Genomic DNA, 15,254 nt, shown 5'->3' with positions numbered 1-15,254 from the left:
CACCGGATAAAGACATAAGCTAAAATAAGAGAATCTCTAGCTAACATATTATGACTTAGGATTAATAGGACCCAAAGACAACTATGTAGAATAAAATAGAAAACAAAAATATAGAAATCAGTCAAAGTAACAATTATTTATAGTAATAAATATAATTTATAGTGTCCCAGAGCTGACATGGGACAAAAGATGGGAGAAGTGGGTGGATACTGGATCTGGAATATATTTATGGAATATATATACACTTTTTAAAAAATTTTTTGAGATGGAATATCTTCTGTCACCCAGGCTGGAGTGTAGTGGCACAATCTTGGCTCACTACAACCTCCACCTCCCAGGTTCAAGCGATTCTCCGGTCTCAGCCTCCCGAGTAGCTTGGATTACAGTGGATCTGGTATATTTTAAAGAAAGAACAATCAGGATTTGCTGATAGAGTGGATTCCTGAAGATTCCTCATTTTACCATGTAAATATTTACTGCATTTAATTAGGCATGCTTTTTTTTTTTTCAGTAAATGTCCTGAAGCACAATGACCCTTCTCAATCTGAAACATCTTTTTTGATTTAGCCTCAATTATTCCTCCTATTCCAATTTTTTTCTGTTTTCTTCCTTAATTGGCTAGATCTCTCTGACTTGTTCTTTGTATCCAGTTATTATTTTCTCAAATCATTTTTATCCCTTCATTCTTTTCTTTGCATTCCCTAAGTGCTTCTCAGGTTTATCTTTTTTTTTTTTGTTTGTTGGTTTCTTTTGTTAATCAGGGGTTGACATTTTTGCAGTTGCAAGGGGTGCATCCATGGCTAGACAGTCAGATCAGTGGTCACTCCTGAGACGTGGTAGACTGCAGTCTTGTGGTTGGGGGCAAGGAGAGAGACAGCAACAGAGGGCCCCAACTTTCAGTAGACGGGGGGCATTCAAGCCTAGGGATCCTGGCAGATGGAAACACGGGATCAGCAGCAAGAAGAGTTCATGCTTACCTGTCAAAGATAGTGCTTGATCCCATAGATGCTCCTCTCTGAGTCAGCAAACAGGGTTCAAGCAGACTTAGTTGTTGGGAGTTTTTTAAAAAAAATTATTTTAAAAGCTGTGCTGCTTAGAAGCCTAAGAGGAAGAAACTGATAAAATCAATAGCACAGATGTATATGTAATTAAATTCTCATACTGATTGGTGATGTCTGTTTGTAGCTCTCCCCCACTGCACCCAATAATCTGATCTGTCGGAAGTTTCTTTTATAGCTTTTTCAAAGAGTCAACTTTTTGTTTTATTGATCAATTCTACACAGTTTGGATTAATTTCTTCTCTTTATATTATTTTTCTTTTTCAATTTTATTTGCGTTTATTTTAACTTCTTGAGCTGAAAGCTGAGTTCAGTTTAAATATTGCTTTCTAAACTGTATAAACATAGGTATGTGTTCCACTAAGTTCCACTTCGTTACATCCCATAAATATTGGTATTTAGAGCTCACATTATTTTCATTTCTAAATCATTTATAATTTGATTTCTCCTTTAATCCAAGAATTACTTAGAAATGTATTCTTAAATTTCTACGTGCTTTGATTTTTGTTGTTGTTGGTGGTGGTGATGGGGTCTTTATTTTCTTGTTTAACTTCTAATTTTTCCATTATGGTAATTTCATGCTTTTGGAATTTATTGTCTTTTCGTGACTCAATACAAAGTAAATTTTTATGAATGTTCCATGTGTTTGAAAATAATGTGCATTTTTCCCAGGGCCTTAAAAAAGAAAATAATGTCAATTTTTTTGTTTATTGGTTACAGAGTTAAATATTTTTATGTAGTAGATCAAACTTGTTAACTGTGTTATTAAAATATTTTCTAAATTTTATTTTAAAAACCTGTTTGATCTAGGATCTGAGAACTGTGTGATTTTTGTTCTTCGTGGGTTTTTCAATTTCCCCTTGGAACTCAAATAGATTTTGCTTTATATATTTCAAAACTACATTTAGGTACTCAGCAAAAGTAGATGATGATCAGGCACAGTGGCTCACACCTGTAATCCCAGGACTTTGGGAGGCTGAGATGGGTGGATCACTTGAGCCCAGGAGTTCAAGACCAGTCTAGTCAACATGGCAAAACCTCGTCTCTACAAAAAAAAAAAAAAAAAAAAAAAAAAAAAGAGCTGAGCATGATGGTGTGCATCTGTAGTTCCAGCTACTCAGTAGGCTAAGGTGGGAGGGTCATCTGAGCATGGGAGGTTGAGGCTTCAGTGAACCATGATTGCATCACTGCACTCCAGCCTGGGCAACAGAGTGAGACCCTGTCTCGAAAAAAAAAAAAATGACTGTAGGTGAATTTAACTTTTTGAAATGCTAAATAATCCAAACTATAATTTTCTTGATTTTTTTGTCTGATTACTATTTGTACGTACTAAAAAAATCTTTTTGCTGGCATTTGTCTAGTCATAGACAATTTTCCATTAATTTCTCTCAATTATGAGTGTCAACACAAATACCAATTAGATATTTGAAGAGGTTTTTTCCATTGATGGAAACCTATGGGATATTTTTTCCAATATTTAATTTTTGATTATTATGGATACATAATAGTTATACATATTTATGGGTGCATGTAATATTTTGACACAAACATACAATGCATAATGATAAAATCAGGGTAATTGGGGTATCCAGCACCTCAAATATTTATTTCTTTGAATTAGGAGCATTCCATTTCAATCCTTTAGTTATTTTGAAGTATACCATAAATTATTGTTAACTATAGTTGCTGTATTGTGCTACTGAACACTAGACCTTATTCCTTCTCCCTAACTGTATTTTTGTACCCAATAACCATCCCTTCTTATCGCCCCATCCTCACTACCCTTCCTAGCTTCTAGTAACCATTATTCTACTCTCTATCTTCATTTTTTTTCCAGCTCCTGTATATTAGTGAGAACATGCAATATTTGTCTTTTTGTGCCTGGCTTATTTCATTTAACATAATATCCTTCAGTTCTATCTGTGTTGTTGCAAATGACAGGATTTCATTCTTTTTTATGACTAAATAATATTTCATCATGCATATGTACCACATTTTCTTTATCCACTTATCAACTGATGGGCCCTTAGATTGATTCCATATCTTGGTTATCTTGAATAGTGCTGCTATAAATATGGTGATGTGGCTGTCTAGATATTTCTTTTTTTTTTTTTTAATTTTATTTTGAAACAGAATCTCACTCTGTTGCCCGGGCTGGAGTGCACTGGTGCAATCTTGGCTCACTGCAACCTCCGCCTCCTGGATTCAAGTGATTCTCATGCCTCAGCTTTCTGAGCAGCTGAGACTACAGGGACGTGCTACCACGGCCCCGGCTAACTTTTTGTATTTTTAGTGGAGACGGGGTTTAACCATGTTGGCTAGACTGGCCTCGAACTTTTGGTCTCAAGTGATCCACCCACCTCGGCCTCCCAAAGTGCTGGAATTATAGGCTTGAGCCACTGTGCCTGGCCTAGATATCTCTTTGATATATTGTTGTCTTTAGGATAAGTCATTTTAACTGGAGTAAGATTATATCTAATTGTAGTTTTAATTTGCATTTCCCTGATTATTAGTGATATTGAGCATTTTTTCCATACGTGTTAATTGCTTGTATGTCTTTTTTTTTTTATTTGAGACAAGAGTTTTGCTCTGTCGCCTAAGCAGCTGGAGTGCAGTGATGCGATCTCGGCTCACTGCAACCTCCGCCTCCCAGGTTCAAGTGTTTCTCATGTCTCAGCCTCCTGAGTAGCTGGGATTTCAGGCGCCTGCCACCACACCCAGCTAATTTTTGTATATTTAGTAGAGCCTGGGCTTCACCATCTTAGCCGGGCTGGTCTCGAACTCCTGACCTCAAATGATCCCCCCTATCTTGGCCTCCCAAAGTACTGGGATTAAAGTGCGAGCCACTGTGCCTGGCCTGTATGTCTTCTTTTGACAAATGTCTATTCAAATCTTTTGCCCATTTTAAAATCAGATTATTATTTTTTTGCTATTGAGTTGTTTGAACTACTGATATATTATATAGTCTGGTTATTAATCCCTTGTCAGATAAGTAGCTTGCAATGTTTTCCTCCATTCTGTGGGTTGTGTCTTCACTTTGTCAATTGTTTCCCTTGCTGTGCAGAAGCTTTTCAGCTTGACATGATCCCATTCATCCATTTTTGCTTCTGGTGCCTGTGCTTTTGAAGTCTTACTCAAGAAATCTTTACTCAGACCAATGTCCTGAAGTGTTTCTGCAATGTTTTCTTCTCAAGAAATGTTTTTAGTTTCAGGTCTTAGACTTAAGTCTTCAATCCATTTTGATTTGATTTTTACATATGACAAGAGATAGGCATCTAGTTTCATTCTTCTGTGTTTGGATGTCCAGTTTTCTGAGCACCATTCACTGAAGAGACTGTTCTTTCTCTAATGTATGTTCTTGGTACCTCTGTCAAAAATGATTTGGCTTTAAATACATGGATTTATTTCTGTGTTCTCTATTCTGTTCTGTTGGTCTATGTGTCTGTTTTTATGCCAATACCATACTGTTTTGACTACTATGTAGTATAATATGAAGTCAGGTAGCTTCCAGCTTTGTTCTTTTTGCTCAGTATTGTTTTGGCTATCCTAGGTCTTTTGTGGTTCCATATAAATTTTTGGATTTTCTTTTCTATTTCTGTGAAGCATGTCATTGATAGGGATTGCACTTAATTTGCAGATTGCTTTTGATAGTATAAACATTTTAAAAATTTTTAAATTTTTTTATTTCAATAGGGTTTTGGGGAACAGGTGGTGTTTGGTTACATGAATAAGTTCTTCAGTGGTGATTTCTGAGATTTTGGTGCATTCATCACCTGAGCAGTGTACACTGTACTGAATGTGTAGTCTTTTATCACTTGCCACCCCCACCCTTTCCTTCAAGTCCCCAAAGTCCAATGTATCATTCTTACGGCTTTGCATACTCATAGCTTAACTCCCACATATGAGTGATAACATATGATGTTTAGTTTTCCATTCCTGAGTTACTTCACTCAGAATAATAGTCTCCAATTCTATCCAGGTTGCTGCAAAAGCCATTATTTTGTTCCTTTTTATTCCTAAGTAGTATTCCATTGTGTGTATATATATGCCATATATATATATGTGTATATATATGCCATATATATATATGTGTATATATATGCCATATATATATGTGTATATATATGCCATATATATATATGTGTATATATATGCCATATATATATATGTGTATATATATGCCATATATATATATGTGTATATATATGCCATATATATATATGTGTATATATATGCCATATATATATATGTGTATATATATGCCATATATATATATGTGTATATATATGCCATATATATATATGTGTATATATATGCCATATATATATATGTGTATATATATGCCATATATATATATATATGCCACATTTTCCTTATCCACTTGTTGATTGACAGGATTGGAGCTGGTTCCGTATTTTTGCAACTGCAAATTGTGCTGCTATAAACATGCATGTGCAGGTATCTTTTTCATGTCTGTTTTTCATAGTGTGGTGGTGCACACCTGTAATCCCACCTACTCAGGAGGCTGAGGCACAAGAATTGCTTGAGCCCGTGAGCCTAGATCACACCACTGCACTCCAGCCTGGGTGACAGAGAGAGACTCCATCTCAAGATATACAGATGGTCAAACGCTGTATATGGAAAAATGCTCAACATCATTACTAATTATCAGGGAAATGCAAATTAAAACCACAATGTGCTACCACCTCACTTCTGCAAGAATGGCCATAATAAAAAAATCAAAAAATAATAGATGTTGGCATGGATGCAGTGAAAAGGGAACACTTTTACACTGTTGGTGGGAATGTAAACTAGTACAGCCACTATGGAAAACAGTGTGGTGATTCCTTAAAGAACTAAAAGTAGAACTACCATTTGATTCAGCAATCCCCTATTAGGTATCTACCCAGAGGAAAAGAAATCATGATATGAAAAAGATACTTTCAGGATTTTATAGTTTTCATTGTAGAGATCTTTTATAGCTTTGGTTAATTCTTAGGTATTTTATTTTATTTGTAGCTATTGTTAGTGGAATTAGTTTCTTGGTTTATTTTTCAGATTGTTCACTGTTGGCATATAGAAATGTTACTGATTTTTTGTATGTTGATTTTGTATCCTGAAACTTTACTGAATTTATCAGTTTTAATGGGTTTTTGTGGAGTCTTTAGTTTTTTTTCCAAAATATAGATCATATAATCTTCAATCAAGGATAATTTGACTTTCGCTTTTCCAGTGTGGATGTCCTTTATTTCTTTCTCTTGTTCTAATTGCTCTGCCTGCACACTGTACTGTGTTCAATAACAGTGGTGAAAGTGGGCATCCTTGTCTTGTTCCAAATCTTAGAGGAAAGACTTTCAGTTTTTCCCATTCAGTATGATACCAGATGTGGGCTTGTCATATATAGCTTTTATCAAGTTGAGGTATGTTCCTTCTATACCCAGTTTTTTAAGGGTTTTTATCATGAAGTGAAGTTGAATTTTACTGAATGCCTTTTTGGCATCTTTTGTAATGATCATATGGTTTTTGTGTTGTTCATTCCGTTGATATGATGTATTACAATTCTTGATTTGCATATGTTGAACCATCCTTGCATCCCTGGCATGAATTCTACTTGATCATGATGAATGATCTTCTCAATATGTTGTTGAATTTGTTTTGATAGTATATTGTTGAGGATTTCTGCATCTATGTTCACCAGAGATACTGGTCTGTAGCTAGTGGTGAAGCCAGCTAGGACTGAGTTCCTCCCCAGGGCAGGGAATTATCCTCCAGGCTAAAATGCTTCCCCAGTGAGCACCTGCAGAACTCTTCCCTGTGCTGTATTCTTCTGTGATAGGGAAACACTAAGTTTCAATGTAAAGTTCCACACTCACTTCACTCTCCTTCCCCCAAGCACATGGATTTTCTCTCTGTGCTGCCCTGGCTGGGGTTGGGAGATGGGTGGAGCAGGAAATTCAAGGTTGTTCTTCCTATCCTCTTCAATGACTCTTTCCGTGATACTATATTCAAATTAGGTACTGTGATTGCTCACCTTATTTTTTGGGACCTATGAAAGTGCTTTTTGCATGAAGAGTTGTTCAATTTGGTGTTCCTGCAGGGAGGCAATCACTGGAGGGCTCTCTTAGACTGTCTTGCTCTGCCTTCTCCCTTGAGGTTCTCTTTTAAAATATTACATATTTAGATTTAAAAAAAAACAACCTGATTTGTGATTCTATATATTCTTTCTGTTTAATTTTTTTTCATTCTTTGCCTTACTATAAAACTCTATAAAGGGAAATTAACACATCTGTTACAAATTAGTGTGTATAAATTTATTTTGTGTCATTTTATTGTATGTTTTCCTGTTCATTATGCTATTGTTTCTCTTTTTTCCAGGAATGTAGTATGCTTCTCCATGTATTTTAATTTTTTTTACTGCCTTACAATAAGTTTGTAAGTGTGATCATATGAGATTTTGTATGTTACAGTATTTATTACTGTAGTCAGTGAGTTTTCTTCATTTCATTTCTTGCTGATATAGTACTTTAAAATGTAGATTTTTGCATATGTATCATCAATGCCACTATCTAAAAAAATTATCTTTTTACTTTGAATAGATTGTTGGAAAATAGTCTTTTTGTGTTTTGTAGATACACAATAATATTGCTTATAACACAAAGATGATTTTTTCTTTTATTCTGATACTTATTCCAATTATATAATTCTTTTTATCAGGTATACATGGTTTCCTTCTATTCATATATTAGTCAGAGTTTTTTTTTATTAAGTATGTCTTTTTGGAGGCTATTAATAAAACTGTAGGCTCTTCTTCTTTAATCAATTCTTACATAACATTTATTTCAACCTAAATTTGTTATGTGGGAAGTTTAGTTTATAGCTTTTAGGAATCATTTTTCTTTCTTTTCAGCATATGCAGACAATAAAGAGGGTAATATTACTACAATAATAATGCAATGTGATGTATCATTTATTTAATGGTAGAATTTATTTTAATAACTTTATAAATGATCTTAATCTTAAATTTCTAGTAATAGAAAGATCTGAAGGTCTTCTTTATATTTCTCATTTGTACTTCTTTTTATGGTGGGAAATTGTACTTCATAGCTGAATTTTGGAAGTACTGTTTACAAATACTAATCTTCTGTAATACTTGTTTTTCTCATAATGGGCTGTTGTGGTGTTCAGATAAAAATATATGTGAAAGATGTCATAAGATATAAAGAACTCTGCAGTGGTTATTCATTGTTATTATAGTAAGTGCTCAATCAGTATATGTTAATTCAATTTGATACCTAACTTGGCCAGCTTAACAGCATATTTCCTTTTTCAATGATCTGTGTCCTTTTAAAAAGGAATATGTGATCCTGTGCCCAGGGATGCGTTAGGTATGTAGGAATTATTTACTTACAGATGAATTACAACAGAAAGCCTTTTTTTAAAGGCAGATTTTGGGGCTTGTTTTTACTGTTGATGCTGACAACACATCTGTGAAATACATGCTTCCCAGTGGTCATTTTGGTCAAACACGAAGCTGAGCAGATGCATGCTTGAGCTCCAACCACCTGGCAGGCCTTTGTTGACTTGGCAAGAGTCTCCAGGCTGGGAAATTTGAAGAACACATTTCATTCCAGCTGAAGGCAGGATTATGAGTTGATGATTTACTGTGAGACCCAAGGTTTACTATAGGGATTTATATTCGGAATGAAATGGGAAGCTTGGGGATTTGTATCCATCAGGCACAAGGACCAGGAGCCAGAAGGTGAATTATAGGCTAAAGCTGTTTCACCAGCTGGTGAGACTTTGCAATTCAATTCCAAAGCAGGTAGAACTGCATTCATTAACAAAGGGCAATCAGGCAAGCTGGCATAGACTTTGCCAGGGTCTTTGCCTACAAGGGAAATATCTTTCCACAAGGTAAGTGGAGACTTAGAAAATATTCCCTGTGGTTTCTCCTAGGTTGAGTTCCATGAGCCATTTCCCAAGTAAAGAACATCAGAATGTCTTCTTCTGCTTTGTGGTCATCAGATGTGTTCAGGTGTCAGAGCTCCTGGGAGTCACATGCTCCTTACAGGAAAATAATACCTCATTATCAAATATTACTATTAGGCATAAAATAATTTAATAAATATTTTGGTTTTCAAATTTATTTCATTGGTGGTTAAATTCTAGCATAAACTTAATATTAGCCAAGGCTTTCTTATTTTATGAGCTCTAGCTTCAACACACAGTTCCTTGCCCATGGACAGCTAAACCTCTTCTCAAGATTTCTGGGTATTTAAATCCTCAGCATCACAGAAATCATTTTGGGGTTTTTACAAAAAAATTGAAAGTGCATGGGAATGACATTGTTCAATGAGCAGCAAACAACTTAAAAACCATACATTAGCCATCCCTGTTCTTAAAATCCTCTGGGCCTTTCTGCCACCAAGAGTTTCTCATTGACCTGTTGGTTCATCAGTGCCCAAGTTGCATGATCTCGTTGAGTCTTTTCTTGGTGTCTCCTTCCCTGGTTTCTTTATGCACTTCTTCTCTCTTGAAGAGCCTTGGAAACTGAATTATTCTCTAAAACTTGTAAGTACAAAGCCATACAGTCTCAACAGAATGGAGCATTTTATGTTTAATGGAAACTGTCTTTCTGAGCAGGTAGTTGTGATTTTAAGTAACAGATATTTTTTCCTGGTTTACCAATATAGATGAGTGGCATCCAGTCCCAATGTCTTAAAAAAAAATTATAAGGGAGAACAATCAATGATTTATCTAGCTTGTGGATGACCAGTTTGGTGAGGGCATAGTGGTAGAAACACTGGGCTAAAAATAAGCTTCCTGGGTAGGTATACTGAGCCTCTGTACCCAGCCTACTTCCGACCTTCCTCCTCCATTCTCCCTCCATCACTGCTCACCATGTACTCAACCGCCTATGGAGCCAGGCAGGTAGCAAATTCTCACAAGAACAAAACCAGAGGAAATGTGTCCTGTCTAAAGGGAACAGCCTTGACTGGGCTCTCATCAATTTTTGCATGTGGGAATGTGGGAACCATGTTGCTGTATCTTCTGGTTTTTACAAAATAATCTAGAAATTTTGATTTGATACAAAATTTTCTAATTAGGTATAAGCCTAACAAAACATGTCTGGGGGCAATATTTAGAATGCAGCTGCCAGTTATTCTACATTCTAGACCTTTCTCTCTGTCTCAACGTGCTTCTCTCACTATATGTTGTGACAAACATCTTGGTATCCTTCAGGGCTCAGTTCAAATGGCACCTTTTCTCTGTTTTGTCATTCTCCCCTATAGTTTTACTCACTGCTTCACTTCTTCTTCTTCTTCTTCCTCTTCCTCTTCTTCTTCTTTTCTTCTTCTTCTCTCTCTCTCTTTTTTTTTCGAAGTCTTGCTCTGTCGCCGAGGCTGGAGTGTAGTGGCATGATCTCAGCTCACTGCAACCTCTGCCTCCTGGGTTCAAGTGATTCTTGTGGCTCAGCCTCCTGAGCAGCTGGGATTACAGATGTGCACCACCACGCCTGGCTAATTTTTGTATTTTTAGTAGAGATGGGGTTTTGCCATGTTGACCAGACTGGTACTTCTTTGCAGTTCCCAGAATTCTCTCTTCAAATACCTCTTTCTAAATGTGTCATGGCATTTTTTTTTTTTTTTTTTTTTTGCTGGTCTGCTTGCTTTGCTACATTGTGAAAAACTTAAAGATGGGAACCATGTCAACCATCCTTTCATCCTTAGAATCTGGTATAGTACTTAGCACAGAGTAAGCACTCAACATTTGTTGAATGCATGAAGGAAATAGACATGATTCTGGGACCTGAGACATGAGATCTGTTTTCTGCTTTACCTCTCAAATTCTTTTTGCTACAAGGCAAGGCATTGTGATCAAGTGTAATGTACATTGCCTTTGAAAAATTGTTATTCCTAATCTTTGGGGACAAGCAGAAAAATAGCTGATACAATCTATGTGGAAAACTAATGTGAAAAAAACTTACTGGTTGCATTGATCAAATGTCTGGGCTCTTTCTTTGAAAAGTCTGTTTTTGAAGAGTATTTTCCTGTGCAGTTTATTGAGAGCAATCGGGCAGGCATTTGTTCTTGCCAGGGTTGGGGGGCAATGTGTGAGCAAGGTACAAAGTGGAAGCTGGATGAAACTATAAACATCTGGAATTCTTTTTTCTGGAATGTGAATTAGAAAGAGCAATTTAACTGCTACCTTGAATCTATGTAAAAAAGAGATTTAAATTTTACTAAGGAATAAATTAGTATTTTCCCCAAAATACTCTCAGATGGTCATTAAACCATCTGAGAATTGAGGTCTCCACAAGTTTAGATTAAAATTACTTTTAGAATTTAAAATCCTAACTTCAGGGAGGAATGGTATTTTCAAAAGGTAAATTTAAATAGAGAAAACTTAGAGCCCCCTCCCTGTTATCCTGAAAAAAAGTAGTTTGATTAAAAAAATCAATAAAGGTGAAGATTTTCTTTTAGTTGGAAGATGTAGAATTAAGATCTGTGCCAAGGGATTATTTTAATAGCAAACATTTTTATGACTTTTTTCTTCAAGACTAGAAACATTTTAGGGCTTAATGGCTTTAAGCACAAGACAAAAAAAAAATCAAGTTTCTGTGTATGTCACGTTTTTAGATTGTCTACTATGTGTGCAGGGAATTTTGAGGTGCAATGAACAAGAATTCTCTAGCCAATGATGTGGATGTGTGGTTTGAGAAGAAAAAGTTTCCGGTGACTGAGGGGCGTGAGAGTTTATTTTGGGAAAGTCTTTCCTGACTCTTCTCTCTCCACTCGCCTACTTCCAACCCATCCCACCTTAAAATAATGTTTAATCTTTCCAAAGGGGGAAAATCCAAATGGCATTAAAACCAAGCATGTTTGAAGACTGCAGGACTTTAGGCTTGTAACATGTGGTGAAGATGGAAAGTACAGAGGAGGAAGTTGTTAACAGTCTAAATGTCTAGATGATACCAGGTGGTAGCTCAGTATGGCTCACAGCTCGGGTAGAACTTGTCCTGCCATTTGGTGAGTCTCTTCTGCTGCCACTTGGAGCTGTAAAGGAATTCTTAATTCCCTTCTTCATCCTCCTGGTTAAATATTTTTACCTGGCTGCAAGAAGGTGTTGTAAATTCTTTTGGTTCATGTTTAAATACACAGTGGGGCATTCGATCCCTGGGAAATCTGCATGAATTAATAAACAAATACCCTCTTCACATAGGAGGCCTCTATGGCATCTAGAAATTGAGATTAAGTGCCTGTGTTCTAGAGTCATCTTAATCACTGCATATTCCTTCATGATCCAAAACTTGCAGATTGAAAATCCTTCTCTTTGGTGCCCTGTGTGAGACACAGTAATCTTTGCAAAGAGCCTTGGAGTCAGCTTTCTACCCAGTAAAAGTGCTTGAGGAAAGGAAGTACAAAGAGGCTTAGGTATGAGTCAGAGGAGGGAAAATAAAGGGGGAAAAAATACAGATGAAATTCTCAGAAAAATTCCCTTCCTTGATGGACAGATATTCCTTTATTCTTCATACATAAGGTTTGGGATCAGGTATTTTCCCATCATGGGTCAACATGCACAAATTAATCTGTGTTGAGCATGCCTTTTTATCCTGCTGCTTTGACATCTGGGGGCTCACTGATGCAGGAAAGACTGCCCCTTCCAGTGCTACCCAGTTCCTAGAGACAGTTAATTATTTGCCTCTGAGCCCACTTTTTGAATACAAATTCACCAATCCAGAGTCCATACTCCCAACCATCTTTATTGAGCTCTCACACAGGATGACATTAGTCCCCTTGCCTAATCACCTAGAGCCAGGTACTAGACAACTAGAGACAGCCACCACACCACAGAGTCAACTGAAATTATTCAAATTAGTCAATCCTAAACCTGCTTAGTCTACTTTACCTGTTCCTTTTCACAACCACAAAAAGAGTCTTACCCACATGTCCCCCTTGTTCCCTCTGCCTCCTGGCACTTACACCGTTGCTTCCCCTTGTGGCCCTGTGTGGTGTGGCATGCCCCCTTCTCTTGGAAACTGTGAGTAACAAACTATCTTCTCAAAGGTAATTGTCTCCTCATCTCTTGGCTTCACAATACCTGAATAATAATAAAACCTACATTGTAACACAAGTGCCTGCAAAAGCCATGTTCTAAATGTGTATGACTGGCATCCATGACATAGACAAGATCCCTGATTGGTCTCCATGTGAAGAATCTGTGTTCCTGGTTGTTCTGATGATGTTCTTCAAATGAAACGGAACTTGATTTTATGAACAGATTAAATTGTGAGGGATAGCAGGGATAAGTGAGAATTTTTATTGTGCAAAAAATTAGACTGGGAGCAAGGACTGAAATATGTATCAATTTTATTGAAGATTTTTTTTATGATACTTTAAATTCTATGATACATGTGCACAACGTGCAGGTTTGTTACATACGTATACATGTGCCATGTTGGTGTGCTGCACCCATTAACTCCTCATTTACATTAGGTATATCTCCTAATGCTATCCCTCCCCCAGCCCCCCACCCCACGACAGGCCCCGGTGTGTCAGTTAATAAGACAGAGATAGGTTTGGACATGCACTTGCTCTGCTTAGTCTCAATGAGCAGAACTAGCTATAACTTGGGGAAAAGATATGAGAAGAAAGATTTTATTTCACTATTAAGAAACTAATTAAATAATTAACATTATTAAAAAAAACCCAAGTGGGCTATGATGGGTGATAATGAGTTCAAGAGTAGAGCTAAATAGAGAATAACAGACAATCTGTAGTGACATCTTATAATTTTGGTGTAGCTGGTATAGCAGCTGTAATAAGGTCCACTCTTTATAATTATTTATATTATATATTTTTCCTCTGTATATCCACCTTTCTTGGACCCAGACCATAGATTCTATGAGGACAGAGTCTGTACCTGTCATATTTCACCATCGTATTATCAGTGACTTTGTTGGCATTGTAGTGGATCAATAAATACTTGTTGAATAAATGTTTGTTGCAGTATCTGATGGAAGATGAAATTAGAGACTTTGCTGAATTTCTTTCATATTTGGGTCAGGACTTCTAACTGTTTCCTAAACCCTGTTTCCTTTTCTCTGTGGGCACACAACTAACTAGGTTACATGTCTCAGCCACCTCCACTGCTTTGGTGCTATGGGATTAATTCCGGGTGATGAAGTGTGGGTAGGCCTAGCCTATGTAAATCTACTGTGTAATCTTGCATGTTCTTTCTTGCTTCCTTCATCTTCTAGCCACATGCAAAGCATCTAGTGACTAGATAGACATCTAAAATGACATTTGATCTGTTGTTTTGACTGCTGTAACAGGAACATATGATCACAGATAAAATGGTTTCCATCTCTTAAAAAGTGGGACCTTTTCTAAAATTTCTTACCTGAGCAGGGATATACCTCAAGAAGTAATCAGTTATCCAGATTCTCTACTTTTTGACTGAGATTTTGTGATTTGATCAAACCAGACTGGAAGGTTGGAGAAGGGCATGCCAACACCAGGCTTTGATGTCAAATTTGCTTTACAAATTAGGCTCCCAGATCTCTCTGTTTCTTGTTTCCTGCCCAGCTGAGTCTTCTGTGAAAATCTGAGAAGATATGTCTAATATCTAGTACCCTCCGATAAGCTACTTTCAGGCTCCTTCTCTTGTTGCTTTTGGCTAAATCTTTGGAGAAAGGGAAAGACCATTCTTTCAATGTCCATTGCCAATGGGCCATCACTTTCCTTCTCATTGCTTATGGTGAAAAGCATGTCTATGTCTGGTGACTCTGCTGGAGGATGATTTTCTCAAGGGCAAAATCAGTGAAATGACAGCAAATAGTTGGGAAGTTAGAAGTAGAAAAGGACAGCAGACTCCAATAAATGTAGTTGACACATTTATTGAGTGCCACCATGCCATGACTTACCTCACGATCTTGGGTGCTTTAAAGGTCTCTGAGACAAGGCTGTCAAGAATTTTACAGTATCTTGGAATAATATTTATTCAACCAGTTAAGCTTAGCAAGTTCAAGTTCAGAAAACAATAAGAGAAAACTTATAGCATGGTGGCTTTGTAATCTGAGACACCTCACTGCCAAGATGGTATTAGAGGGTTTGCTTCACTTCTGCCTCTTCTCTAAATGGATCAAGGAGCTGCTGCCACCTGGAATAAGTGGCCACACCCGGGCTATGCCTT

Source organism: Homo sapiens, chromosome 9 (genome assembly GCF_000001405.40).
Source record: "Homo sapiens chromosome 9, GRCh38.p14 Primary Assembly".
Lineage (NCBI taxonomy): Eukaryota > Metazoa > Chordata > Mammalia > Primates > Hominidae > Homo > Homo sapiens.
This window is presented reverse-complemented; position numbering follows the sequence as displayed.